This window comes from Homo sapiens, chromosome 9, assembly GCF_000001405.40.
Source record: "Homo sapiens chromosome 9, GRCh38.p14 Primary Assembly".
Lineage (NCBI taxonomy): Eukaryota > Metazoa > Chordata > Mammalia > Primates > Hominidae > Homo > Homo sapiens.
Genome location: NC_000009.12, coordinates 133,327,705 through 133,338,098, shown reverse-complemented (window position 1 = coordinate 133,338,098; position 10,394 = coordinate 133,327,705). Strand labels below are relative to the sequence as shown.

General features: G+C 52.7%; 1 protein-coding gene across 3 annotated transcripts, besides 4 other annotated features; it reads left to right on the top strand.

The window, feature by feature from the left end:
- Window positions 963-1,933: an enhancer, noted in NCBI's record as "H3K27ac hESC enhancer chr9:136203003-136203973 (GRCh37/hg19 assembly coordinates)". NCBI's record gives its function as "activates a minimal SCP1, AML or CMV promoter by ChIP-STARR-seq in primed H9 embryonic stem cells {active_cell/tissue: H9 hESC(primed)}" and the evidence as "EXISTENCE:reporter gene assay evidence [ECO:0000049][PMID:30033119]".
- SURF6 (surfeit 6) lies at window positions 1,911-9,323 on the top strand. 3 transcript variants are annotated; one of them, NR_103874.2, is made up of 5 exons: window positions 1,911-2,060; window positions 3,498-3,707; window positions 4,346-4,381; window positions 5,339-5,551; window positions 5,751-9,323. NR_103874.2 is itself a non-coding variant. In NM_006753.6 (5 exons), the coding sequence occupies exons 1-5, from the start codon at window positions 1,967-1,969 to the stop codon at window positions 6,228-6,230; spliced, it is 1,086 nt and encodes a 361-aa protein (NP_006744.2). In that variant the 5' UTR covers window positions 1,911-1,966; the 3' UTR covers window positions 6,231-9,323. The 3 variants fall into 3 exon arrangements, 2 of the variants coding, with proteins under 2 accessions (NP_006744.2, NP_001265871.1); NM_006753.6 differs by having other exon boundaries at window positions 4,293-4,381; NM_001278942.2 differs by having other exon boundaries at window positions 4,293-4,385; window positions 5,344-5,551.
- Window positions 1,934-2,904: an enhancer, noted in NCBI's record as "H3K27ac hESC enhancer chr9:136202031-136203002 (GRCh37/hg19 assembly coordinates)". NCBI's record gives its function as "activates a minimal SCP1, AML or CMV promoter by ChIP-STARR-seq in primed H9 embryonic stem cells {active_cell/tissue: H9 hESC(primed)}" and the evidence as "EXISTENCE:reporter gene assay evidence [ECO:0000049][PMID:30033119]".
- Window positions 2,152-2,271: an enhancer, noted in NCBI's record as "active region_29235". NCBI's record gives its function as "activates an Ori minimal core promoter by ATAC-STARR-seq in GM12878 lymphoblastoid cells {active_cell/tissue: GM12878}" and the evidence as "EXISTENCE:reporter gene assay evidence [ECO:0000049][PMID:35858748]".
- Window positions 2,552-2,651: an enhancer, noted in NCBI's record as "active region_29234". NCBI's record gives its function as "activates an Ori minimal core promoter by ATAC-STARR-seq in GM12878 lymphoblastoid cells {active_cell/tissue: GM12878}" and the evidence as "EXISTENCE:reporter gene assay evidence [ECO:0000049][PMID:35858748]".
- Window positions 9,324-10,394: the final 1,071 nt, after the last annotated feature.

The following is a 10,394-nucleotide window of genomic DNA, read 5'->3' as shown; positions in this document are numbered from 1 at the left end:
TTCTGGAGGTGCTCTGAAGGCACAGCTGACAGGATTTGCTGAAGCATTGGATGTGGGGAATAAGAAAGGAGTCAGTGGTTTCAAGGTCTGGCCCAAGCACCTGGAAGGATGGAGCCGCTTTAACTGAAAAAAGGGTTGACAGTGAGAGGAAGAGATGGGGCTTGGGGGGTCAGATGCCCATTCTGAACTCAGTAGGTGATGGTGTTAAGATACCCAGCAGTTCAGGGGAGTCAGCAGCAGCGTCACGCCTATCCTCCATGAAACATCACCTCTAGGCTGGTCTGAATGGCAGTGGGATGTCAGAACTAATTAACCTTAGTGTCACTATAGTTGGCATTCGACCCCCACACTGCTAAATTTGACTGCCTTTTTTAAAAGTGAAAAAAATACATATATCTTGAGACAGCCTGGCACTCCAGGCTAGAATGCAGTGGCGTGATCTTGGCTCACTGTAACCTCTGCCTCCCCGGTTCAAGCAATCGTCTCTTCTCAGCCTCCTGAGTAGTTGGGACTACAGGGGCCGGCCACCACGCTTGGCTAATTTTAAATTTTTTTGTGTGTGGAGACAGGGTTTCACTATGTTGCCCAGGCTGGTCTCCAACTCTAGGGCTCAAGTGATCCTCCCGCCTTGGCCTCCCAAAGTGCTGGGATTACAGGCGTGAACCACTGCGCCTGGCCAAAAAAATTTTTTTAAATCACCTCATGGCAGAAGTTAGGGGAAGAAAGTTTAGTTCTGTTTCAAATACAACAGTTCTGTTTCTAATATATATATCAGCAGCCACCTTTTCAAATTGTAATTTAAGACTCTTAAGTTCTCCCTTCTCTACCAACGGGGTGGCCCTGGAAGGGGCTCTGGGTCCTTAATGAGCCTGTAATTTTCCAGTGCAGGAACTGGGGTGTGGTGGTCCCAAGCCTCAGGCCATGACCTCTCTTTTCTCCTGCCCCTAGTGAGTTATTATAAAGACCACATCTTGTGTTAAAAATCGCAGTGTGGGCTGGGCACGGTGGCTCATGCCTGCAATCCCAGCACTATGGGAGGCGGAGGTGGGCGGATCACCTGAGGTCAGGAGTTCGAGACCAGCCTGGCCAACATGGTGAAACCCCGTCTCTACTAAAAATACAAAAATTAGCTGGGCGTGGTGGTACACGTCTGTAATCCCAGCTACTCGGGAGGCTGAGGCAGGAGAATTGCTTGAACCCGGGAGGTGGAGGTTGCAGTGAGCCGAGATCTTGCCACTGCACTCCAGCCTGGGCGACAGAGGGAGACTCCGTCACCGGGGTGGGGGAGGGAATCGTAGTGTGTAATTCTATTTTTCAGAGCAAAAGCCACTGCCCAGGGGGTCTTCCTTGAACATGCAGGCTCCCTCCCGCCCAACACTTCTCCCTTTTCCCCTGGGCTTTCTTTGGCGCTCCCCTCACCTGACAGTCACACGCTTGCCAGGTTTATCAGTCACCTCTACGGCAGACACTCGCCGAGAACACATCTGTGTGTGTGACACACTGCTTGTGTCCCCTAGGACTGAACCTAGGGCCTGCCACGTGCCAGGCGCTCAGTCTGTGTCCGCCTGAGACCTGAGGCCCCCCACTCCAAAGGACGGAATGAATGTACTGCTGGTCATTCATTCATTTCGCCCCTACTCATGAGCGCCTGCTGTGTCGGGGTTGGGGGTGAGGGGAGCACAGGAACACGTGCGGGACCGGGGTGATAGAGGCACTGAGGCCAGGCCCCGGGGGTGCCCTGCTGCACCGACTCCGGGCGGAGATTGGCTGTCCTCGGCCCGCAATGCTGTGCGCCCCGCCCCGCGCGCCGCTTCCGGCGGAGTCAGGCTTGGCTAATCGAGCGCGCGGGCTGGCGGCTCGGCGTTCGTTTGGCCGCGCCTGCCCGTGTGGTGGTTTCCGGCGGAGGTGGTGAGAGTCGCACGCGCAGCGGGGAAGGTGTGAGTCGTGAACGGCCCGGGTCTCCGCCATGGCCTCTCTACTCGCCAAGGACGCCTACCTGCAGAGCCTGGCCAAGAAGATCTGCTCCCATTCGGCCCCGGAACAGCAGGCGCGCACGCGGGGTAACGCACAGGGCCGGGCCGGGACTAAGGGGCCTGCGAAACGGGGGACGCGGCCGGAGCCGGTGTAGACGAGTCTGTAAAGTACTAGAAAAAAAATCTAAGTGACTTGTGAAATTATCGCCGTTTCCCTTATTTGTTTTTTTTGTTTTTGTTTTTGTTTTTGGAGACGGAGTCTCGCTCTGTCGTCCAGGCTGGCGTGCAGCGACGCGATCTCGGCTCACTGCAAGCTCCGTCTCCCGGGTTCACGCCATTCTCCTGCCTCAGCCTCCCGAGTAGCCGGCACTACAGGCGCCCGCCACCACGCCCAGCTAATTTTTTTTTTTTTTTTTGCATTTTTAGTAGAGACAGGAGTAATGGTCAGTCAGTGGGAAAAGACCCTTTCAGTCCCTTCACTACGGGCATGGTGCGGTGTGGGGAGGAGGAGGATGGCAGAGGGCTCCTGCGCTTAGGGTTCTCATGGCCTGGTGACCACGCTGCACAAGGGAAGTAGATAATCGGGTGGGGAAGCCGACAGCGGGGACGTGTCAGTGCTGTCTGGGCCCAGGAGGAGAGGAGAGCAGCAGGGTCTCTGGAACCACCAGAGGTAAAACGGGGTTTCCTTTTTATTCAAGGACGATATATTGGTTATAGCAAATCCAAAATCTTAAGTGAATTTTCTCATTACCTAGTATGTCTTCCGTCTGTCTTTCTCATCCTTTTTGAAATTTTTTTTTTTTTTCATTAAAACGATTCAGCTCCTACTTTACTTAGACTGATTTCTCCCATTTAAAATGTAAACATTGTCCGGCCGTGCGGCCTCATGCCTGTAATCCCAGAATTTTGGGAGGCTGAGGAGGGCGGATCACAAGATCAGAAGATCAAGACCATCCTGGACAACATGGTGAAACCCCGTCTCTACCAAAAATACAAAAATTAGCCGGGCACAGTGGTGGGCGCCTGTAGTCCCAGCTACTCCGGAGGCTGAGGCAAGAGAATCGCTTGAACTCGAGAAGTGGAGTTTGCAGTGAGCAGAGATTGCGCCACTGCACTTCAGCTTGGGGAACAGATTGAGACTCCATCTCAAAAAAGAAAAAATGTAAACATAACCCCCAGCAGCTAAAATGAAAGCCCTTGCCATTGTGTTTGATGGCAGCATGGTAGCTTATTGTAAAGCAGGGCCAGAAATTGTTAGTGGAGGTGGATATTCAGGTTTTTCTAATGTTTCACTCAAATAATGGTGATGAACGTCCTTGAAGCCTCATCTTTGTGCCTGATGAATTCTCACAAGCAGAACTACTGGGTCAAGGTTGTGGTTCTGAGCTCTAGGATCAGTGTCTCTGGCCCCCGATCCTGATCCTCTTTCGGCATCTTCCTGGGATCAAAGCCTTGGTGAGCCTTTCCTGCCTATTGAATGGGCCATGAGATTGGGACTTAACTCTTTCTTATTTTGCATTTCAGCTGGCAAAACTCAAGGCTCAGAAACTGCAGGGCCCCCAAAAAAGAAAAGGAAGAAAACACAAAAGAAATTCCGGAAGCGAGAAGAGAAGGCTGCTGAGCACAAGGCCAAGTCCTTGGGGGAGAAATCTCCAGCAGCCTCTGGGGCCAGGAGGCCTGAGGCAGCCAAAGAGGAAGCAGCTTGGGCTTCCAGCTCAGCAGGGAACCCTGCAGGTGAGAGGCTTCAGGGCATGTTGGTTCTGTGCAGGGCGGGGCTGGGGCTGGGCTTGGGCTTGGTCCCCTTTGCTCTTAAGAAAAAAAAAGCAGCAGCAGGCGCACAGGGATAGCACGAGACTTCCCCAAGAGCAAAGATCACAGGAGTGCTAGGGTGGATGGGACCGAAGGAACTGTGTGGCATTCCAGGCCACATGGCTAGCAGGATGTCAGGGGGCAAGGCTGTGTCTCTCTGAGGACCTGGAGCAGCTTGGCTTGAAGAGCTTCCCTGCCCTCAGGTCTCTGCAGGGGCCTTGTGAGAGCCAACTTGTTCTGGGGCCCAGGCTACAAAATTTGGAGGAGGTGGTTTGGCTTGCACCGTAGGAAGTGTTTTCTCATACCACGGTGACCTACCTCGTGAGGCACTGAGTTACCTGTTCTGGAGGATGTTGTAGGAACCAGTCCAGGTTGAAGCGGTGGAGTGGAATTTACTGGAATTGCCCTGCAGATCCATGAGTGGCCACAGTGGGACAGGGATTCGTGGCCCTAGGGAGGGAGGGGGAGGGGAAGAGAGGGCCCCCTGCAGTCCTGTCTCCTTCCCTGCAGATGGCCTGGCCACTGAGCCTGAGTCTGTCTTTGCTCTGGATGTTCTGCGACAGCGACTGCATGAGAAGATCCAGGAGGCCCGGGGCCAGGTAGGCGGGCAGGTTTGCTGGAGTGCCGTCACTGCTCTGCCTGTGTTCTCCCTGGGGTCAGCTGTCAGCGAGGGGCCGTAGCCCCTGTTCTCCCCTCTGCAGCGAGTCTGGCAGGGCCCCAGCAGGTGTGCTCTGGGAGAGCAGTTATTTTCTTGGAGAACCTCAGTCCCCAAGCTCATCAGCCTCCTTCCTTCTGGGAAGCTGCCTTTGCTGAACTGACACTGGGATGGGCACCTCCTGTGTCTGTTTCTCTGAATGTCGTAATAGTCCTGTGAGTTGAGTAGGGACTTGAGCTGAGTGGCCAGGCACAGGAAGCACCAATGCAGCTCTTTGTGCTGAATGGTACTGTCTCCCCTGTGTTGGCCCCTACCCACCCTTTTCCTGGGGCCCTTCCTTAAGGCCTCGTGCTGTGTGGGGGACAGTCCCCAGCTACTCTCCTCCGCCATCCCGAGGTACAGTGTGTGGTTCCTAAGAGGTGAGCAAGGCTCTGGGCCCTTGTTCCTGAAGCACAGGTCTCGTTTGGGCTGGTGTAGGGCTCTTGTTGGCCCGGGGATGGGAAAGGCCATTGGGGAGGGCTTCGTTGGGTACCTCGTGAACAGAATGGGCAGCGGTCAGGACAGGTGTTCAGACGCCAACTCCAAGTTCTAGGCAGTGGTCTTGACCCTCCTCATCTATAAAACGATGTATGACATTTGAAACCATGTGCGTAATGTATCCTGGCACGGGGTAAGCACCCGGGAATTGGAAGCTGTGATTCTTATTTGGGGGTCCCTTCTCTCTTTTGGGGTCATTTGCTTTTTGGGGAACATCATGGTGGAACATTGAACTCCGCGGGCCCCTTGTTTGCGTGAGGATTTTCTCACCTGCCTTCCAGCCCTGATTCTTCTCGACTATGGGCCAGGCTGGGGGACCCTGGGATCGAGAGAACTTTAATGAGTGGGTGCCTCTTTCCCCCAGGGCAGTGCCAAGGAGCTGTCCCCTGCCGCCTTGGAGAAAAGGCGGCGGAGAAAGCAGGAACGGGACCGGAAGAAGAGGAAGCGAAAGGAGCTGCGGGCGAAAGAGAAGGCCAGGAAGGCTGAGGAGGCCACGGAGGCCCAGGAGGTGGTGGAGGCAACCCCAGAGGGGGCCTGCACGGAGCCGCGGGAGCCGCCCGGGCTGATCTTCAATAAGGTGAGCGGGAGCTGGGTCCTTGGGCGGGCTGGGTCGGCTTCAGGCCTCAGCGTTGCCCCTTGTTAGCTTCATGATCTCTCTCCGAACCCCATCATGTCTGTAAGGTGGTGACGGGGACCTCGCAGGTCCCTTAGGGTACTGGCCAAGGCTGGGGCCTAGTGCAGGGCTGGCATGAGCTGATGTCATACCTTCCTCCCAGGTGGAGGTGAGCGAAGACGAGCCGGCCAGCAAGGCGCAGCGCAGAAAAGAGAAGAGGCAGAGGGTGAAGGGGAACCTCACGCCGCTGACCGGGAGGAACTACCGGCAGCTGCTGGAGCGCCTGCAGGCACGGCAGAGCCGGCTGGACGAGCTGCGCGGCCAGGATGAGGGGAAGGCGCAGGAGCTGGAGGCGAAGATGAAGTGGACCAACCTCCTCTACAAGGCGGAGGGCGTGAAGATCCGTGACGACGAACGCCTGCTGCAGGAGGCCCTGAAGCGCAAGGAGAAGCGCAGGGCGCAGCGGCAGCGCCGGTGGGAGAAGCGCACGGCCGGCGTGGTGGAGAAGATGCAGCAGCGCCAGGACCGGCGGCGGCAGAACCTGCGCAGGAAGAAGGCGGCCCGCGCCGAGCGCCGCCTGCTCAGAGCCCGCAAGAAGGGCCGCATCCTGCCGCAGGACCTGGAGCGCGCAGGCCTGGTCTGAGTCTTTCCCACCTGGGGCCGCCGTCTTCCGTCCTAGGAGACTCCAGGACACCCTCTGAGTCCTTGACGCTGGCTCTGTCCCAGGATCTCCACAGACCTCGGCCTCTCCATGTGAGGGGGACACAGTGGTGCTCTGCTGAGTTGTGAGGGCCCAGATCACAGATCCCATGTGAGAAAGAGAGAGTTTCAGCGTCATCCTTGAACGCAGGATCCGGGACCTTCAGACCCAGGGAAAGGGTGAGGGAGACTGGGGCCTGGTCTGCTTTCCCGGGCCTGAAAGCTTCCCCGAGGTTTGCAGGGTCAGGGAGGAGGAACGGTGGGGGTGGGCAGTCACTGCCTGTTCCCCACTGCCTGTGTTCGCAGGAGCCACGGGACAGAAGACGGTGGCCTCTGCTGCCGGGCCACGTTAGTCCGCAGCTCACCCGAACAGAGGACAACCCTGAGGTGTGGCATATGGGCACCTGGCACTGGGAGTCGGGGGAGCACGTCCAGGCGTGGTGCATCCTGGGGCAGAACGCCATGGCTCCTCCCCGCTCTCTTGGCTTCTGCCTGTTGGGGTCTCATTCCTTTCTGTTCCCCAGTGCCCCGGGGCGGCATTTTACTGCTCAGAATTTGGAGGGAGGGAGCAGTACCTTCCCGGAGTCCACGCATGTGAGTTGGGTCAAGTGCATTGGACCTAGGGAAAGAGAAAGAAAGAATAAAAGCTGGAGAGAGAGTGAAGTGAATGCAAGATACAAAGTGGGATGGAAGAATTAAATCCAGAGTTCCAGGCAATCAAAATGAGTGCAGGTTGAAAGAAAACAGGTGAATTTTAGTGGCATATGGATGATAAAGCTGTAAATAAAATTCTTTTGATGAAACTCTCCGGTTATGAGACAAAGACTGTAACTGAACAGGAGCTGGTGTGACTGTTACCAGACAGAGGCAACTGATGAAAAAGCCCTGTGAAAGATAGGATGTGAGGTGAGCATGAGCTTGAGCTGAGAGACAGACACAACAGTATCTGAAAAGAATACATACTCTTTCCATGCATATATGGAACATGGATGGAAACTGACCACCTACTTTGTCCAGAAAAGAAGTCTTAAGATATTTCAAGGAATCAGTGTCGTTATCTGACCGTATCCCAATGTCATTAAAAAAAATTTGAGCTATTTTTTTTTGTTTTTTAGATAGAGTCTTGCTCTGTCACTCAGGCTGGAGTGCAGTGGCATTTCATATTTGGAATTTTTAAAACACACTTATAAATTACCTATGAGTTAAAGAATTCCGAATGGCTATTAGAAATATTTGGGACTAAAGGATAATGAAAATGCTACGTATTAAAATTTGTGGAACAGGGCCTGGCATGGTGGCTCATGCTGTCAATCCCAGCTCTTTGGGAGGCGGGTGGATCACTTGAGATCAGGAGTTCAAGGCTAGCCTGGACAACATGATAAAACCCCATCTCTATTAAAAATAAAAAATTAGCTGGGTGTGGTGGTGCAAACCTGTAGTCCCAGCTGCTTGGGAGGCTGAGGCGGGAGAATCACTTGAACCCAGGAGGTAGAGGCTGCAGTGAGCCAAGATCGAGCCGCTGCACTCCAGCCTGGGTGACAGAGCAAGACTGTCTCAAAAAGAAAAAATTTAAGATTTGTGGAACAGAGCTAAAGCAGCACAAAAAAACATAGCCCCTAAATGTATGTGCATCTACAGATAAATAGTGCCATTTATACACACATACGCTGTATGTCTGTATTTTTAAAGCTAAAGAAAAATAAGCATGCAGCTTAAGTTGGAACAACTCAAAGTAAATGGAAGAAAAATCTCCAAAACTGACTAAAAGTAATAGAAAGCCTGAGTTGTAATCACTGATGAAATTGAGTCAGTAGTTAAGAATGTTCCCCTAGACGGTTTTACAGGGAAGTTCCACGATATAGAGAACAGGTAATTCCAGACGTAGACAAATTCTAACAGAATCAATTGAGAGAACACTTCATTCGTGAACTTAGCTTTGATACCAAAACTAGGTAAGAGAAAGGGAAGTTACCAAATACCTGTGGGCGGCAAGCCACCCAGGCGCCGAGGCAAGAGACAGAGGACACGAGCTGTTCCAGTATAATAAAATATAAAACAAGAATAGTTACAGCAGATATAGATCTTAGATATGATTACATATGAATATCATTAATCATTAGTTTGTAGCAATTACCTTTTATTCCAATATTATAATAATCCTCGCTCTATAATCATAGCCTAGGAAAAACCAGGCCATACAGAGATAGGAGCTGAGGGGACATAGGTGTGACCAGAAGACAAGAGTGCGAGCCTTCTGTTATGCCCGGACAGGGCCACCAGAGGGCTCCTTGGTCTAGCGGTGACGCCAGCGTCTGGGAAGACGCCCGTTGCCAGGTGGACCATGGTCTAGCAGTAGCAAAAAGTATCAAGGAACAACACCCGCTACTTAGCAGACCGGGAAAGGGAGTGTCCCTTTCCCTGGAGGAGTTTAGAGAAGACTCTGCTCTTCCACCTCTTGTGGAGGGCCTGACATCCGGCAGGCCTGCCCGCAGTTATCTGGAGGCCTAACCGTCTCCCTGTGATGCTGTGCTTCAGTGGTCACGCTCCTAGTCCGCCTTCATGTTCCATCCTGTACACCTGGCTCTGCCTTCTAGATAGCAGTAGTAAATTAGTGAAAGTACTAAAAGTCTCTGATATGCAGAAGTAATGGCATAAGCTGTCTTTCTCTCTGTCTCCTCTCTCTCTCTGCCTCGGCTGCCAGGCAGGGAAGGGCACCCTGTCCAGTGGACACGTGATCCACGTGACCTTACCTATCATTGGAGATGACTCACACTCTTTACCCTGCCCCTTTTGCTTTGTATCCAATAAATAACAATGCAGCCAGACATTCGGGGCCACTACCGGTCTCCGAGCATTGGTAGTAGTGGTCTCCCGGGCCCAGCTGCCTTTTCTTTTATCTCTTTGTCTTGTGTGTGTATTTCTACACTCTCTCATTGCTGCACACAGGGAGGGAGAGACCCACGGACCCTGTGGGGCTGGTCCCTACAAATACCAATGTCAAGATTTTAGACAATAATAAACCAAGTTTAGCAAAGTGCCACACTGGATTTAATTCAGAATTGCAAAGCAGTTTCAATGCCAGAGAATCAAGAGTGTAATTCATATCAATAGATTAAAGGAGCAAAACCCACGTGACCATCTCAATGGTTGCAGAACAGGAACACAGTAAATGACGCGACAGCCATTTATAACGAGTTTTTAGCAAACTAGGAATTAAGGTATTTCCTTACTCTGATAAGGGGATTTGGAGCCAGGCATGGACCCATCTTGAAACTACATTCTGGGTCAGGCAAATGTAGATGTATTGGAGGGAAAGACATCCCCATGGGTTCCCAAGAGGTGAAGTCATCATAGTGAACTAAGGGGCCAGTGAGGGTCTGGAAAAGGCCACTGCCATCACCTGGCTACAGAGACTGAAGAGGCGGGGGGGGGTCTCGTCCTGAGCAGAGACAGGACAACTGGGTGGGCCAGTGAGGGCTGCAGGTGGGGGAAGCTGAGAACCCAGCAATATTTTACTGCCACTGGATGTCTGCACAAGGAACCTATGCCAGCCAGGGAGGTTGAGAGTGAGGCTCAGTGGGGACTGGCATACTGGCTGAGTGGATGCAGTCATTGAGCAACGCATGTCATGCATGGCGTGGGCCATCACTCTGCTGGGTGAAAGTTTCAGGAGCGAATGAGACCCAGCCCTAGCTCTCAAGGAACCCATAGTCTCATAGGTAGTGGTCCTGCAAAGTGGCCAGGGAAAGGATCGGGGTGCAGGGTGCTGAAGTCACATGGAAAGTTGTGAACGTTGCCGGTACCAAAATGGAGTCACTTATGTCAAACTAAAACAGTTGGAGGTGATGAAGCAGCCCTCACGCACACATTCCTGCAACAGGACTTACCACAAGACATTTCTACAAACAGACCAATAACAGGACTCACTGCAAGACCATCCTCAACGGTTGCAGTATTCCAGATAAGCTGCTATTCCCAAATCCATTTATTTTAGAGAGTCTATCTCTGGATTTCTTCATAGGTTGACTGTGTCATGTAGGATTCAGTATAGTGAACAAAGATTGGGGAAAGGCAGACCCCAGGCAGAAGATCAGAGGCAAGGGGGACA

Bases quoted from the DNA above. Each gene is read 5' to 3' on its own strand.
- SURF6 (NM_006753.6), top strand. From the start codon at position 1,967: ATGGCCTCTCTACTCGCCAAGGACGCCTACCTGCAGAGCCTGGCCAAG. The intron at 3,708-4,292 runs GTGAGAGGCTTC...CCTTCCCTGCAG, and splicing joins CTCAGCAGGGAACCCTGCAG to ATGGCCTGGCCACTGAGCCT. The intron at 4,382-5,338 runs GTAGGCGGGCAG...TCTTTCCCCCAG, and splicing joins TCCAGGAGGCCCGGGGCCAG to GGCAGTGCCAAGGAGCTGTC.